General features: G+C 44.7%; 1 protein-coding gene across 4 annotated transcripts in view, besides 1 other annotated feature; it reads left to right on the plus strand.

The window, feature by feature from the left end:
• INPP5D (inositol polyphosphate-5-phosphatase D) overlaps positions 1 to 18129 on the plus strand; it is a 147562-nt gene that overhangs the window by 67192 nt on the left and 62241 nt on the right. For all 4 annotated transcript variants that reach the window (NM_001017915.3, XM_047444219.1, NM_005541.5 and 1 more), the window contains exons 5-6: positions 2975 to 3115; positions 12309 to 12396. In NM_001017915.3, coding sequence (NP_001017915.1) covers positions 2975 to 3115; positions 12309 to 12396 — 229 coding nt within the window. The remainder of the gene's footprint in view (positions 1 to 2974; positions 3116 to 12308; positions 12397 to 18129) is intronic.
• Positions 1434 to 1933: an enhancer, noted in NCBI's record as "H3K4me1 hESC enhancer chr2:233993677-233994176 (GRCh37/hg19 assembly coordinates)". NCBI's record gives its function as "activates a minimal SCP1, AML or CMV promoter by ChIP-STARR-seq in naive H9 embryonic stem cells {active_cell/tissue: H9 hESC(naive)}" and the evidence as "EXISTENCE:reporter gene assay evidence [ECO:0000049][PMID:30033119]".

Consider the following 18129-nt stretch of genomic DNA (forward strand, 5'->3'; position numbering starts at 1 on the left):
AATTATCACATTTCTAAGTAAAATTAGCCTTCTCAAATAAACATAGTTTACATCTTTATGTCAACACTTTTCTACAACAAACTTTTATTTTTGAGACGGAGTTTTGCTCTTGTTGCCCAGGCTGGAGTGCAAAGGCACGATCTCAGCTCACTGCAACCTCCCCCTCCCGGGTTCAAGTGATTCTCCTGCTTCAGCCTCCCAAGTAGCTGGGATTACAGCCATGCGCCACCACAACCAGCTAATTTTGTATTTTTAGTAGAGACGGGGTTTCTCCATGTTGGTTAGGCTAGTCTCGAACTCCCAACCTGAGGTGATCTGCCCGCCTCGACCTCCCAAAGTGCTGGGATTATAGGCATGAGCCACTGTGCCCAGCCTACCACAAACATTTTAACAAATAGAACTGCCTGTAATACAGACTCACGGTATCAAAGTCACAAGGCAATAGTAATTAGACCTGTTAAGATACATATTTTAATACAGGGGTCCCCAACCTGTGGACTATTAGGAACTGGGTGGCAGCAGGAGGTGAGCGGAGGGCAAGCGAGCATTACCACCTGAGCTCTGCCTCCTGTCAGATCAGCGGTGGCATTAGATTCTCATGAGTGTGAACCCGGTTGTGAACTGTGCACTTGAGGGATCTAGGCTGCACGCCTCTTAGGAGAATCTAACTAACGCCTGATGATCTGAGATGGAGCAGTTTCCTCCCACAACCATCCCCCCACCACCCATCCGTGGAATAATTGTCTTCCACAAAACCGGTCCCTTGTGCCAAAAAGGTTGGGGACCACTGTTTTTAATACTATAGAAGAGATGTTTGTCCCTTTTAGTAAACAGACTCAGGCAGAAACTGGATTTTTATGATGTCAAGACCCAGAATAAATATAGAAGAACTTAAATGTAAATGTTCTCTTCTCAATCTAACAAGTCAAATGGGTAAGCCAGTCCTGTTCAGTATTTTTTTTGAGATGGAGTCTCGCTCTGTCACCCAAGCTGGAACACAGTGGCGCGATCTCGGCTCACTGCAACCTCTACCTCCTGGGTTCAAGCAATCCTCCCGCCTCAGCCTCCTGAGTAGCTGGGACTACAAACGCACGCCACCACGCCCAGCTAATTTTTGTATTTTTAGTAGAGACAGGGTTTCACCATGTTGGCCAGGCTGGCCTTGAACTCCTGACCTCAGGTGATCTGCCCACCTCTGCCTCCCAAAGTGCTGGGATTATAGGCGTGACCCACCATGCCTGGCAATTCCTGTCCAATCTTAAGAGCAACGGCTTTTCATTCTTTCACAGATTCCACAGGAAAAGCCTTGTGGCCTTTAGTTTCAATTTGATTACATATCAAGCCTGGAATAAAAATCTTTAAGGCGGCTGGGCAGGGTGGTTCACACCTGTTATCCCAGCACTTTGGGAGCCTGAGGCAGTGGATCACCTGAGGTCAGCCTGGCCAACATGGTAAAACTCCACCTCTACTAAAAATACAAACATTAGCTAGGTCTGGTGGCATGTGCCTGTGGTGTCAGCTACCCAGGAGGCTGAGGCAGGAGAATCACTTGAACTTGGGGGTTGGAGGTTGCAGTGAGCCGAGATCTTGCCATTGCACTCCAGCCCAGGTGACAGGGTGAGACCCTGTCTCAAAAAAATAAATAAATAAATAAATAAATGAAGGCTTGTAATAATTTTTTCCACACAGCTAATTAACATGGTTAAGCCTCAGTTCTCTGATTTGTAAAACAGGAATAATTAGTAATAATATCTGAGTCATAAAATTGATTTGTGGGTTAATGGAGAAAATGAGCATGAAGTGCTTAGCATAGTGTCTGGTATGCTGTGCTCAGGAAATACTTGCTGTAATTACAATTTCCATCATTATGGGAACAAACACTCAAGCGTTACCCAGAACAAAAGGTGCTGGAAGATAGAATGCAGACAGCTGATCCGACTTTAGGGGGCGCCCCTCGTGGGACTGGCCTGGGCTCTCTGCCTGTGCCTCTGCCACCAGGGTTGATCTGCACAGTGAACAAATCCTGCCTTCAGCCCCATTCACTCTGTACACTGAAGGGGTTGGAGCAGATTCCACACGGCAAAGTCGGCCACTTGCACTACCTCATTCCATATCCCCAGCCCCATCGCTAATCACTCAGACTCCCCCCACAGAGCCTGAGATGAATCCAGACTCTCTGAACACAGTGCCCTGGGTAGCCTTTGGCCGTGAAATTGCAAAGTGCATGGGAGCTAAAGCCATTTGTTATCTCTAGATCCCATCATCCTTCCAGCCCTCAGATCCTATCTTTATAAGTAGATAAGGTAGGAAAACAATTCCACTTACACTTTCCAAAGCTTTTGGCCTCCTTTTGTGTGTGTGTGTGTGTGTGTGTGTGTGTGTGTGAGAGACAGTGTCTCACTCTGTCACTCAGGCTGGAGTGCAATGGCACGATCTGTTTTCACTGCAACCTCTGCCTTCCGGGTTCAAATGATTCTCCTGTCTCAGCCTCCCAAGTAGCTGAGATTGCAGGCACCCACCACCACACCCGGCTAATTTTTGTATTTTTAGTAGAGGCGGGGTTTCCCCCCAGGCTGTTCTTGAACTCCTAACCTCAGGTGATCCGCCCACCTGGGCCTCCCAAAGTGCTGGGATTACAGTTGTGAGCCACCATGCCCAGCCTTGGTCTCCTTTTTAAAGTATAACCATTTCCCAGACCCCCAGCCAAAACCACTTCCTCCCAGCAGCACCCAAAGGAGCTCATTGAGAGGCACCTTTTCCTGCTGGGCCACTTCTTCTTGCTCTGACCTGCTAATCTACCCCATCAGTGAGACCACGGGAACCTTCGTCCAGGTTTGCAAACATTCTTCTGAAGGACGGTGTCCCCTTGGAGGCTCTGAGGATGAGGATTTGTTATTGTGGTTGCTGTTCCCATTGGTGATGGTGGCTAAAAGAAACAGGCAAGCATAGTTTGTTTCTTTTTTCTTTTCTTTAGGCTTCCAGAAGAGCATCTTAAGGCCATCCAAGATTATTTAAGCACTCAGCTCGCCCAGGACTCTGAATTTGTGAAGACAGGGTCCAGCAGTCTTCCTCACCTGAAGAAACTGACCACACTGCTCTGCAAGGAGCTCTATGGGTAATGGCTGGCCCACGGGGGCGGGCAGGTGGGGGCGGCCACCAGGTGAGAGAAACAGCTCATGAGAGCGACCTCTGCCTCTGCCTGGCTGAACAAATGCCTCTGCCGCACTCACAATAATTGAGTGGTGAGCACAGCTTGGAAATCTCTGTGGTTGTTTGGAGGTCTTGTTATCATGGAATTTGAACAGTAGCTTGTGTGTGCTGCAGCTTTTTACAACTAAAGTTAATTGGAGGCCAGTTGCTCTGGGAAGCGGATGGGGTGGGAGGACATGGCCAGCCCTTTCTCACTTGCACAGGATCCAGCTCTTAAGATTTTTGCTGCTGCTCTTGCTGTTTGCTGCAGCCATTACACCTGACAAGCACAGAAAGGCATCAAAAGGAAATAAATTAAAGTTAGTCTATTTTCTGCGTGGGTGGTTATGGCCCAAGATTTCCAGTGATGTCAATTTTTCAAAGGGAGATGATTCACCAAAACTTTAATTTTCTGATGTCCGATCCATTGAATGACCAACTGGTAAAGGTTCTGATTTCTTTTAGATTCTTTTGGTTTTACATTTTAAAATTTAATTGATGAAAGTTAATTTCAAGTTAATTACATTTTAATTGTTAAAAGTGCAAAAGTAAGGCTAATATGCCATCCAAAGAATTGGCAAAGAATATTTTAAATGCCAAAAGCTTGGAAGAGAAAAAAAACAAAAAAAATTCCAGAGCATCTGAACAAAGCCACAGGGAGCCAAAACAATCCCATCACAAATGAAAGGTCAGGCCGGGTGTGGTGGCTCACGCCTGTAATACCAACACTTTGGGAGGCCGAGGCAGGTGGATCACCTGAGGTCAGCAGTTTGAGACCAGCCTGGCCAACATGGTGAAATCCTGTCTCTACTAAAAAAAAAAAAAAAATTAGCTGGATGTGGTGGCACACACCTGTGATCCCAGCTACTCTGGAGGCTGAGGCAGGAGAATCACTTGAACCTGGGAGGCTGAGGTTGTGGTGAGCCGAGATCTCGCCACTGCACTCCAGCCTGGGTAACAGAGCAAGACTCCGTCTCAAATAAACAAACAAACAAAGGAAAGAAAGGTCAACATTTTGATTGGAAAAATGGGATTTCATACTGGCAACGGTTTTGTAGTCTGTGCTGTTTTGTGTTTTATTACACATACAGCCGTTTCAAGATTCCTTTGTTGATTTTTCTGGGGCTGTTTCAATCTTAGCTTAGTTAATATGCAGAAAACACTCTTTTATCATCAGTAATCAAATTCGACTTTCCTTTTAAAGGCTTTTAAAAGCACGATCAGTACATTCGGTAAATTTAACAAATAATTTCTTTGACAAATCAAGCACTCACCAAATTGGCCAGTTGGGCTTAATTTCAATGAATTGGCTTTCAACTAATGCAGCTGTAGCTAATTGGACCTGGAGCTATCATTTTTATAGATTCCCATGGAGGGATTTTGTTCCATTTGATGCTGTTGTTATGAATCACTTTATCACTAGGGGAAAACACATACAGCACTTTCTTTTTATAAAACACCATTTCACAATGGCTGATAACAAGCTCTTAGTTCTGCTTCAGTGGAGATTCTGTTCTTCCCTGCTTCCTTGTGGAGAAAGAAATGTATTTTAAGTCTCTCCACGAGGCTTCCCTCAGTCTTCCCCAGACACTTCTGCACATTGTTAGATTTCCCTAACACCTCAACACTACCTGGACTTCCCAGGAGCCAAGTCACCTCATCACTATGGCGGTGCCAGCTTCCCCAACTTGTCTTCTTCTCGGGTATGTAGTGCCGATGGAGAGAGCTTCCTTCAGCTTCTAGCTGCTCCATGACTCTATTTAGAATTAAAGACACCGTCATGCTCTAAATTTCCCTTGCACACTCGTCTTTGCTTTCATCAGTAAGGCGACAGCCAGGCTTGGAGACTTGATCAGCCTTGGCATTTTAGGAAATTGTAGAAAGGAACAAAATGATGCTTCCCATTTCTCCTGCCAGAATCCCTGCAGATTCTCATCCCTCAAATTGTAAACCCATAATTTTCAAACTGCTTTGATTAGAATAGGTCTTCATTCATTCGTTCATCGAACAAACATGTATTGGAGGCCTCCTCTGAGCCCTGTTCTGGGTGCTGGGATGTAGCAACAGACACAATGCACAAGCCTCTTGCTCTTTTAGGCCTTTTTGGATCTAACATCTCAGTGAGGCACACAACAGTAGACTAAGGATCCAGATGAACAAGAATTTTTTTTTTTTTTTTTTTTTGAGACAGGATCTCGCTCTGTCACCCAGGCTGGAGTGCCGTGGTGAGATCTCAGCTCACTGCAGCCTCAACCTCCTGGGCTCAAGTGAGCCTCCCACCTCTCAGCCCCTATCCTTGAGTCCCCCCACTCACTTGCTTCCCCCGAGTCCAATGGAGAAGCTGGGACTACAGGTATGTGCCACCATACCCAGCTAATTGTTATATTTTTTGTAGAGATGGGGTTTTGCCTTGTTGCCCAGGCTGGTCTCCAATTCCTAGGCTCAAGCAATCTGCCTTCCTCGGCCCCCCAAAGTGCTGCAATTACAGCATGAGCCACCATGCCCAGTTCAAACAGTAATTTTAGTAAATGTCATGGTAAGATAAAACACGATGATGTGAGGAAGAGACATTGGGTGGGAGAGTGCCAGCTTCCTTTGGAGGTGAAGGAGGTGACAGAACTGGGGTCTTGCCACACAGTGATTTGGCAGAGGGACATTAAGTACAAAGTACAAAGGTCCTGAGGCAGGAATGAAGACAGCCTGCTCAAGGAACAGGAAGTCTGTGTGGCAAGTGAGTGTTAGGAACAGAGGTTGGGGAGAGGCTGGTGTAACATGTAAAAGCTGGTCAACAAGTAAAAGCACAGGCTGCCCAGAGAGGTGGAATTTTAGGTGAACAGCAACTTCTTTAGTATAAGTATATACCATGTAATATTGGGATATACTCATGCTAATAGATTATTCATTGTTTATCTGAAATTCAAATTTCACTGGGTGTCCTGTGTTTTACCTGGTCACTGTAGGCAGGAGCCACATCACGCAAGGCTTAAGAGGCCCTATAGAGTTTGTGCAGGGCTGGGCCATGATCTGATTTTCAAGTGGTGGAGGATGCATCCTAGGAGGCACTGCCCAAAGCAGGAGACCAGCTGGGAGTGGCTGTGGTTGTCCAAGTGAGACAGGATGGCAGTCCATGAGGAAGGTGGCTAGCAGGGGCAGGGGTCTGTGTCTGTTTTGCTTCCTGCTGAGTCCCCGGTTATACACAGGCTCTGGCACATGCGGCTCAACAGATATTAGGTAAATGACCCAATGGCTGGGGGCGTGCAGATGCTGAGAACTGGTGTGACCTGGGACACGTGTGCATGGCAAAGGTGTCAGATTTGCCGCTTGATTGGATGTGGGGTGAAGGGAAGATGAATCTAGGGTGACCCCTGGGTTCCCAGTGTGAGGGGCTGAGTGGATGCTGATGCCAGTTCCTGGGATAGGGAAAGTCAAGGAGGAGGAGGAAGGAGAGGGTGGTGGGAGGAGAGTTCTGGGCTACATTTGGCTTGAGGGGCCATGAGGCATCTGAGTGGAGTCACCAGCCATGGAGCTAGTGCTAAGAAGCTAGGATGTGGGGGATGCATTTGGGGAATCATGGGGGATGCATATGGGGAATCACTGAAAGCTGGGGGTAAGGTCACTGCAGGTGAGAGTGTAGACAGAGGAGAATAGAGCCAGGCTCAAGATTTAGAGGAGGGATGGAGAAGGAGGAGCTGGGAGGGGGTTGAGAATGGCATCAATGATGTCCAGGTCTATTTGCTTGGACCCAAGTGTGAATGAGAAGGACATTGAGCACTGAGGAGTAAGGAGAAGTGCCAGAGCCTCCTCTGCAGAAATGTTGTGACGATGTCCCCGTGCGGGTCTGGCGTGAAGATCTCTTTGCAGTACAAAGCATCAGGCAAGATTTGCAACCCCAGGTTAGGCTCCCTAGAGCCAGACAGAAACTTTTCCAGAGAGAGAGAATAAGGAACCAGAGACTGGAAATATTTGGTAACTCCTGAAATGGAGACACGGAAAGGATTGCAAGTGGAATTTAAAATAAAAGATCAAAGGTCTGAATATCAATACAATATCTATTACATGAGAGCAGGGTAAGATTTTTAATAAACAAACCAAAACCAAAAATACTTCATTACCATTATAACTGTTTCATTGGAGGCCATAAAATAAGCCCATAGTTTTCCAATCAAATTTCAAAAATTAAATCACAAAACAGAGTAGAGTGTCAGAAACATGTATATCAAAAGCATGAAAAGATTAAGCAAACCTAGATGAGGAAATGTGTGGTAAAAATGGACAGTCCTTGGAGACAAAGCTCAGAGGTGCTACCTGTAGCTGGCAGGATATGTTCTTGAAGAAGTAGGAAAAAATTGCCAATTAATGTATACAATAAAAAAAAAAATTTCCAGGCTTACAAAAGAGCTAAATCTAAGTTTTGAGAAGCTCCATAATGATCCAAATAATACAACAATCAAACAGCAACACTGAAACATCTTTTTTTTTTTTTTCTTATAAAGAGACAGCATCTCACTCTGTCACTCAGGCTGGAATGCAGTAGTGGGATCATAGCTTATCCATCCTTGAACTCCTAGGCTCAAGTGATCCTCCTGCCTTTAACTCCGGAGTATCTGTGATTACAGGCATGCACCACCATGCCCAGCTAATTAAACAATTTTTTTTTTCTTAGAGATGGAGTTTCACTATATTGCCCTGGCTGGTCTCAAACTCCTGGGCTTAAGCCTTGGCTCCCCAGAGCTCTGGAATTACAGTTGTGAGCCACTGTGCCAAGCCTAAATCTCTTACAATGTCTCTAAATGACAAGAAAAGATAAATTCAACAAACAGATTGTTACAAACAGTACCATAGCTTTAAAATTGTCGACATTTAAAATGTTAAATATTTTTAAATATTTAATATTTTAATATTTTATATTTAATATATTTAATATTTAAAAATTCAAACTCCTTGACAGTATAATAAAGATTCTGAAGCCATGTCTCCAAGAAAAAGGCTACTGACCTGGAAAAGCTAAGCCTAGCTCATTCAAGAGCACAAGTCATCTTTTTCAGAAAGTTCCTAAAAATGTACCAATCAAATGCCTTACTCAAAAGGAATCCAAAAATTGTTTTTCAGAAATTTTATAGTCCTGGTGATCTTAAAAACAAGAAGCCTGCAGCTTACTGAGCAGCAAAATATGAATATACTCAAAGCAGAAAGTGTTCATTCTGTACTCCCATAACACACTGTGATGAAAATAGAAATAAGTCACAAAACTAGCCACAACCACCCAATTACCTGTACATTTTAAAATCACCTTCTAAATTACAGCTAATTAAGAAAGAAACTGACACAATAATACATGGGGTAGGTGTGGAGGCACAGAGTGGAGTAATCAAACCACTGCATATCAGAACACTATGTGATGCAGCCAAAGCACCACTTAGAGGAAAAACCATAGCTTTAAAAGTTCTGCTCTATTATTAAAAAGTAAATAGAAGGCCGGGCCTAGTGGCTTATGCCAGTAATCCCAACACTTTGGGAGGCCAAGGTGGGCAGATCACTTGAGGTCAGGAGTTCGAGACCAGCCTGGCCAACATGGTGAAATTCCATCTACACTAAAAATACAAAAAATTAGCTGAATGTGGTGTTGCACACCTGTAATCCCAGCTACTCAGGAGGCTGAGGTAGGAGAATCGCTTGAACCCAGGAGACGGAGGTTGCAGTGAGCCGAGATGGTGCCACTGTGCTCCAGGCTGGATGACAGAGCGAGACCGCGTTTAAAAAAAAAAAGGAAATAGAATAACAAGTCAAATGTACAAACTGAGTCCAGATTGTAAATCTCTTGAAGACATTATGGGTCATGTCCTAATCCCCTTGATGTTTCCAGGACCCAGCAAAGTACATGAAATGTTGATTTATTCGATATTCATGAACAAAGATCCAATGTGTACCAACTATCTGCAAGGCACTGTTCCAGGAGCTGGAAATACAGCAGTGAATAAAACAGAATCTTTAAGAAATCTCTGCTGAGCAACTGAGCAATAACAACAGCCAGAAAGGAGACGAGGAGGACAAGATGGTAAAAATAAAAACAGAGATACATCAGGAAAAACTGTCAATTAAGAAAGTTTTAAACATGAGAAATGTCAAAGGAGAATTAATAATCTGCATTAAAGATTTGGAAGTCACTAAAGAATAGTGTACAGTTATGTAGCTACAGATCTTCAAGTTATAATTAAATGGAACACATAGTTTACGTAAAATATAAAACATTAAAAGTACCATGAGTGTCCTTTAAACTTTCAAGGAAAAAATAGTGAGCATAAGGTATAGATTATTCCTGAATGACAAAAAAGTCACCTAATTCTCTCTTCAAGAAAAATATGATTTAAATCCAAAAAGCTAATCAAGATAATAGCCTGAAATAAAACTCTCTATCTCTGATTTCACTTATTAATATAAATGCATATTGTTTCAGTAACATCCCAGCAAATATAATTTAGTGACATGAAAAATGGAGGCTTTATCTAGGTCACTCCAAAGATGAGTCAACAAAAAGAAAGCACTGTAATTTTGCAGTAGATTAAAAGATAAACGGAAACCATTTACATAGATAACATTTTAAATTCATCTCTAATTTTTAAAAATCATTTTTAAAAAAAAGGAATAGAAGGATACTTCCTTAATAATGCAATATGAATCAAAGTAAAACTAATTACAATCGATAGGGAAACATTAAAATCATTCCATTAAACTTTTTTTTTTTTTTTTATGAGATGGTGGCGTCTCCCTCTGTTCCCCAGGCTGGGTGCAGTGGCAGGATCTTGGCTCACTGCAACTTCTGCCTCCTGGGTTCAAGCTATTCTCCTGCCTCAGCCTCCTGAGTTGCTGGCATTACAGGTGCCCACCACTATGCCCGGCTAATTTTTGTATTTTTAGTAGAGATGAGGTTTCACCATGTTGGCCAGGTTGGTCTTGAACTCCTGACCTCAGGTGACACCCACCTTGGCCTCCCAGAGTGCTGAGATTACAGGTGTGAGCCACCACACCTGGCCCCATTAAACATTTTAACAAAAGAAAAAGAGATACTGCCCTTGCACTCCAGCCTGGGCAACAAGAGCGAAACTCCATCACAAAAAAAAAAAAAAAAAAAAAATATATATATATATATATATATATATATATATATATATATATATACACACACACACACACATACACATAATATGTTAGTATTTATTATTATGATATAATGATATTATATTATAATATAATGAGATTATATTGTATTAATAATGTAATGAGATTATATTATATTAATAATGTAATGAGAAAAAAATACAGCACCTAGATTAAATAAAAAGCAAAGTAGGCCGGGCCTGGTGGCTCACGCCTCTAATCCCAGCACTTTGGGAAGCTGAGGTGGGCGGATCACCTGAGGTCAGGAGTTTGAGACCAGCCTGCAACATGGCGAAGCCCCGTCTCTACTAAAAATACAAAAATTAGCTGGGCGTGGTGGTGTATGCCTGTAATCCCAGCTACTCAGGAGGCTGAGGCAGGATCACGCCACTGCACTCCAGCCTGGGCCACAGAGTAAGATTGTCTAAAAAAAAAAAAAAAAAAAAAGCAAAGCAATATGTAAAGTTTATAACACTATATAAAAATATGAACAAAATTCCCAACAGAAAATTGGCAAGGGAGAAAAAACAAAAAAGTTTATACAAAGAGAAATGAGAGAAATGCAGTAGCCATTAACTAGAAATCAGCAATAGAAAAACAATGACATTAGAAATTAAAGATATGCAAATTTATTCATCCGTATTGAAGTGCAATGTTATGTCCCTTAAAAGAGAGAGAAAGAACAGAAGTACAGTCATTGGAGCTATTGGGTAATCAGGTCTGGACAATATAATCAGTACTCACAGGTTTGGCAATAATGATCAAGAGCCGTAATCTCTGGTTATCCTAATTCTGTAATTAAAAATTAGAAAAGCTATATGAACAAAGTTGTTCAGAGCAGGTTTTATTTATTTTATTTTTATTTTTATTTTTATTTTTATTTTTGAGACAAGAGTCTCGCTCTGTCGCCCAGGCTGGAGTGCAGTGGTGCGATCTCGGCTCACTGCAAGCTCTGTCTCCCGGGTTCACACCACTCTCCTGCCTCAGTCTTCCGAGTAGCTGGAACTACAGGAGCCCGCCACCACACCTGGCTAATTTTTTTTTTTTTTGTATTTTTAGTAGAGACGGGGGTTTCACCACGTTAGCCAGGATGGTCTCGACCTCCTGACCTCGTGATCCGCCTGCCTCAGCCTCCTAAAGTGCTGGGATTACAGGCGTGAGCCACCGTGCCTGGCCCAGAGCAGCCTTTATTCATATAACAAAGATCTCAGAGTAACCCAAATATCTAGCAATCGATTTCAGCACATTTACTCAATAGACTATTTTCAAATCATTAGAATGTTAAATATGTAAAAACATGAACAGTTTTTGATGAAACAATAAGTGAAAAGTAGAACTCAAAATTGTCTGCCCCACTATGTTAAAACAATAGAGAAAGATGAGCTGGGAACAAAGAGCGCATAAAGCCCGAGGATTGGAGTTGTCAATGGATGTGACAATGGGAAAATCCGTCTGAGCCTGCATTTGGGCTGCTAGGAGGGGATTTGCATCAGAATCCACAGATCACCAGCACTGGGCAGCCCTAATATTTAAAATGCAGATTCTAGACTCAATCAGGCGGGAGCCCAGAAATTTGCATTGTTAACACCTGTGTGTGTGTGTGTGTGTGTGTGTGTGTGTGTGTGTGTTTTATAAACACAGAAGGTTGGGAACCATGGATAACTAAGTGAAGTCATTTTGTCACTCAGATTTGAATTTTCTACAGGCTATAGAGTGCAGTTTGGCTAAAGCAAAACCTAGGTACAGTCAGGACTACACAATTCCAGTTCGCTGTGGGTTGGGAAGGGATGGGTGGGCCAGTGCTGGCAAGCCTTGATCTTTGCCCGGGCTTGTCCTTCTGGGGAGAATTACCTGCTTCTGCTGGACTGAGGGTGCCCTCATCTCTGGCTAGAGCCCGTGCTGCCATGGAAGACTCTTTCCGGTGCCCACTAATCCTTGATGTTCACCTTGTCCCCTGCCCCCAGAGAAGTCATCCGGACCCTCCCATCCCTGGAGTCTCTGCAGAGGTTATTTGACCAGCAGCTCTCCCCGGGCCTCCGTCCACGTCCTCAGGTAAAGGGTCTTGGGGTTGAAAAGGTGAGATTAATACCCCAGGGAGGAGGATTGAGTTAGCCAGTCCTGAGGGCTCAGGAGGAAGAGGGGAGCACTGCCCATTGTGTGTTCACTGGGCAACAGCAAGCAGGTACGCATGGGTTGGGGGTGGGAGCCTCAGCCCCTGCCCTTTCCAGGAAGCCATCTCCCACTGCCAGATTTTGATTTGAGGAATAAAGATTTCAAATTATGCACTCATCAGCAAAACTTATTTGTGCCAAATAAGGGGGTAAGCAGGGCCTGTTCCCATCATTTCTTATCAGAAACTGAAAGGAAAGAAAAAGAGGAGATGCCTAAACTCTTGATCCTGCCTCTTGTCCCAGGAGGAGCAGGATGAAGGTGCCCCCCAACCCCCGCACCTGCTCATGGCCTGGCAGGAGGCCAAGGTCGTGTTGCCCATTAAGCAAATGTCTGTGTAACAAAAGGTGTCATCAATAAAGTTTTAACAAGTTTTTTAAAAAAGCAAAAGCTGTATCTCAGAAGAAAATACCTGCAACAAAGCTTAGGGACAAAGGATTACAGACGAAGTATTCATGTTTATATTATTATTTTTATTTGAGACATGGTCTTGCTTTGTCGCCCAGGCTGGCGTGCAGTGGCACAATCACAGCTCACTGCATCCTCAAACATCGGGGCTCAAGCGATCCACCCCACCTGAGCCTCCCATGTATTAAAACTGCAATACTTTTGCACCAGCTAATAGCTGGGGATTACAGGTGCATGCCACCATGCCAGTCTCCTTTTAAAATTTTTTGTAGAGACAGATCTCACTGTGTTGCCCAGGTTGGTTTCAAACTTCTGGCCATCTTCCTGCCCCAGCCTTCTGAAGTGCTGGGATTACAGGTGGGAGCCACCATGCCTGGCCATTTTTAAAAAAATTCCTACAAATAATTAAGTAAAAACAATCCAGTTTTTAGAATGCGGAAAGGCTATAAACAAGGCGGTTCACTGAAGAGGGACAGGGAATAGCCAGTATAGATATGAAAAGGCGTTCAACCTCACCTTGTTAGTAACTGGGAAATGACATTTGACACTAGGCAGCCTCTTCTTGCCTATTAGATGGACAAAGAGTTGATGCTCAAGTTGATGGTTGAGTCAGGACTTGGCTAGGATGTGGGGTGGAGGAGGTGCTCACAGGGGCTCACTCCTCTGCTGTTGGGAATGGAAATGGGTTTTCTGAACGGCAGTTTGGCCATTTGTATGCAAATGTGAACTGCAGGCATCCCTCAAGCCCGCAGTTCCATATGTTGGCAGCTTCTTAGGGACTACAAGTACACAAAGAGTAACAGAAAAAAACATTGAAAATCACATAAACAGGCCAGGCGTGGTAGTTCACGCCTGTAATCCCAGTACTTTGGGAGGCCGAAGCGGGTGGATCACCTGAGGTCGGGAATTTGAGACCAACCTGACCAACATGGTGAAACGCTGTCTCTACCAAAAATACAAAAATTAGCCAGGTGTGGTGGCGGGCGCCTGTAATCCCAGCTACTCAGGAGGCTGAGGCAGGAGCATTGCTTGAACCCGGGAGGTGGACGTTGCAGTGAGCCGAGATGGCGCCACTGCACTCCAGCCTGGGTGACAGAGTGAGACTCCATCTCCATCTAAAACAGAAAAAAAAAAGGAAAAAGAAAAAAAGAAAATCACATAAACATGGAGAGCTGGTGAACTGCAGTGGTGCAGAATTCTATTCTAAGGTGTGAACACTGCTCTGGAAAGATCTCCAAGACTACTGTTAGGTGGAAAAGCAAATGGCAGGATGATATAGAAACTCTGATGGAAGTCTCCACGAGGAAATCAGATGGGAAGGATTTAAACCCAAAGGGCCACGCTGGTCACCACAATTCAGGGATGAGACTGGGGAGAAGGGGACTGGGCCAAGGGGGATTTTGAGTTTGCCCACATTGTTAGTTTAGGTTTTCTACGGAGAACACGAATTTGTATTTTACTTGTGCAACTTTCAAAATTCAGAAAAAAAAATTTTTGCTTTCTCTGAAGTGAATGATGGGTTAATTTCTAAGAAAGTAAAAGCAAATCTAGATAAAACAGGGGCTCTGCCCGACACTTGAACTTAAGTAGTTTGAGTGGAAGAACACACAGTCAAGTCTTTGAAGTAGATTAGAAGCGAGAAAAAGCCTCGTGAGAGAGGCCAGCTGCAGTCCCAGTTACGGTGCTGCCTGGTGGAGGCCAGTCTCTGCATTTGGTGGCAGGACAGAGCAGCCACCCAGTGGAGGGTGGGTCATGCTGCCACACTCCCCTCCCCTTTATGAGACCCTGAGTCTTGAAGAAAAACAGAAAAGGTTGTTCTTGATTTGTCTTTAGGAATTCAGAAATCAAGAGGGAGTTGAGGCTGCCTTGAGGAGAGGAAAGAACGTTGGTCCATGGATCAGAAACACCTGAGTTCAAATTCTGATTCACCCTCCTGGATCTTTAGTCTCCCCATCTGTGAAATGGGGACAGTAATATCTCTGCAGGGTTTGGTTAAGGAGTGAGTGAAACTGGGTGCGTGAGACGTCTGACCCTGCTAGACTCTCACCAACATGAGGCCCTTTCCCTTAAGTAGGCAAGACAAGCTGGGGACACCCAAACCCCTGTGTGGTTACTTGAGGACTGCTGGGAAGTGTGAAATGCAATGTTATCAAAATGCTGGCTGGCCTGGGGGATGGGGGAGACCTGGGTCCACCCTGTGTGAGAAAGGAGAGCCGGTAACCTCCCTTGGATGGTTAACCTGCCTTGGCGCCCACTTCCTTTTTTTTTGAAAAGTGCAACTGAAAAGCAAAGTGAAAAAACTGGGTCAGCTGATGTAAACCCTCAGGTAGCAGTCAGACCAGTCTACCCTTTAACAGGCTAAGCTGTGAATTCTATCCTCAACCTCGACACTGGTGACATTTGGGACTGGATTGTTCTCTGTCGTGGAGGACTCCTGTGCACTCTAGGAGTCCTCCACATCCTGGCCTCTACCCATGAGATGCCATTAGCATCCCCCAGCTGTGACAACTGGAAAYGTCTCAGACATTGCCAAATGTCCCCTGGAGGGCAAAATCGCCACCAGCTGAGGACCACTGGGCTAGCCCCCAATTCACATCTCAGGTCTATACTAGCTGTAAACTCACCACTCTGACTCTATTCCCCCATCAGCAAAACAAGGATTAGAAAAATCAAGACATGTGAGGATTAGATGACTTAATATATTTCAGATGTGCTTGGCATAGCATACAAACTCATCAAATCATCATTAGGCAGAAGTATGGGGAAAGCTCCAGCATTTTTCTAATACTTTTTCTTTCAAGCACGAACGCCCTGTTTGTCAGTAACTTCATTTATGTTCTCTAAGATCTTGTTATATCTCCCCTCCCAAAAGTCACAAATCCAAAGAGAGAGCCGGTGGGGGGCGGGGGACCTGCAATTGCATTGGTGACTGCCCGGGGTGAAGGCAGGTCATTCCAAATGTTCTCTACTGTGAAAAGGAGGAGGCTTGAATCTGTGTTACCGTTTCAATTATTTATGAGATAAATAACCCTAAAACAAGGGAATCCTGAACTATCCCATCTCCTGACCAGCTTTTCTTCTCAACCAACAGGCAGCCATTCTGTTGTTCCCTTCCCTGAGTCTTAGCACCACCTCTTCAAGCCACTTTCCTGATTGACAATAACTAAAGAAGAATTGTAAGCTTTATTAAGAAGCAAGGGAAAGACCAAAAAGTGGTTAGAGAAAGCACTGACAATTATTAACTGCTGWGATGGYGGAGTGATGGTTATTGGGAYGGGGAATGGTGTGGTGTCTAAGGGTGGTAGTGATGGTGATGACAGAGGTGGTCATGATCATGGGAGGGCTGGTAGGAGTGGAGATGGTGGTGGTGATGGTGATGGTGATGGTAGAGGTGGTCATGATCATATGGGAGTGATAGGGGAGGAGATGGTGGTAGTGATGGTGGAGGTGGTCATGGTCAGGGTAGGAATGGTGAGGGTGGAGATGGTGGTGGTGATGGTGATGGTGAGGGTGGAGATGGTGGTAGTGATGGTGATGGTGGAGGTGGTCATGATTATGGTGAGAGTGGTAGGGGTGGAGATGGTGGTGGTGATGGCGATGGTGGAGGTGGTCATGATCATGGAAAATAATAGGTGTGGAGATAGTGGTAGTGATGGTGATGGTGGAGGTGGTCATGATCACGGTGGGTCTGGTAGGGGTAGAGATGGTGATGGTGATGTTGGAGGTGGTCATGATCATGGTAGAACTGGTAGGGGTGGAGGTGGTGGTAGTGATGGTGATGGTGATGGTGGAGGTGGTCATAATTATGGTGGGAGTGGTAGGGGTGGAGATTATGGTAGTGATGATGATAGTGGAGGTCGTCATGATTATGGTAAGAGTGGGAGGGGTGGAGATGGTGGTGGTGATGGTGAGGGTGGAGGTGGTCATGATCACGGTGGGAGTGATAGGGGTGGAGATGGTGGTAGTGATGGTGATGGTGAGGGTGAAGGTGGTGGTAGTGATGGTGATGGTGGAGGTGGTCATGATCATGATAGGACTGGTAGGGGTGGAGATGGTGGTGGTGATGGTGATGGTGAGGGTGGAGGTGGTGGTGGTGATGGTGAGGGTGGAGATGGTGGTAGTGATGGTGATGGTGAGGGTGAAGGTGGTAGTGGTGATGGTGATGGTGGAGGTGGTTATGATCATGGTGGGAGTGATGGGGTAGAGATGGTGGTGGTGATGGTGATGGTGAGGGTGGAGGTGGTAGTAGTGATGGTGATGGTGGAGGTGGGCATGATCATGGTGGGAGTGATAGGGGTGGAGATGGTGGTAGTGATGGTGGTGTTGGTGGTGATTGTGGTGGCCATGCTGATGACTCTGGTGGTGCTGTTGAAGGGGATCCTATTGATCATGKCAGTGCCATTGATCATTGTGCAGAGGCAGCAGTGGTAATGGAGGTGGTGATAGTAAAAGTAGTATACTAAAGTAGCTGGGTGGAAAATTGAGGTCAAAAGCAAGTGCAGCCTGGCTGCTATATTGAGCAAGGGGTGAGGTAAAGGGACATCACCTGCCTGGTGATAACCCTGGTTCCATTCTGCTTTGTATTCACATTAGCCATACATGTGTCTGATTTTCTCATTCCACTTCTTATTWTGAACTTAATAAGGTATTAATAACTTAATAAGGTATCTTATTAACTCTACATTTCCACACCTGGCAGCATGTCTAACATAGAATAGATGCTTTGTAAATGTTTCTTCTGTGAATAAGTGCATGAGACCATGTACTTGGCATCAGGTAGACAGGATACATGTCTTCCTCTGCCATTTACTAGCTGTGCGACCTCAGACAAGTTAGTTCATCTCTCTGGGCCCTGTATGTACTGAACAACTTAACGGAGCATCTTCGTTGGCCAGACACTGTTCTGAGCCCCAGTGTTGCAGTACTGAACACAGTCCTCTTGATCTCCATTCTCACGGAGCCTCCATTCAGCAGGGAAGACAAACAATGAACACATATTGGAAGGAGATGACTTTAGCTCGTGGTGATTGAAATGGAACAGAACAAGGCAACTTGATAGAGGTGACCTGGTGGCTATTTTAGACAGGGTGGTCAGGGAAGACCTCTTTGTGGGGCTGAGACCTGAATGATGAGGAGTTGCCCCTCCCAGGGGAAATTGAGTCTCTGGAGATTCCTCAGAAGGGAAGCTCAAGGCAGATATGAGTTGAG

Source organism: Homo sapiens, chromosome 2 (assembly GCF_000001405.40).
Source record: "Homo sapiens chromosome 2, GRCh38.p14 Primary Assembly".
In the NCBI taxonomy this organism is placed as follows: domain Eukaryota; kingdom Metazoa; phylum Chordata; class Mammalia; order Primates; family Hominidae; genus Homo; species Homo sapiens.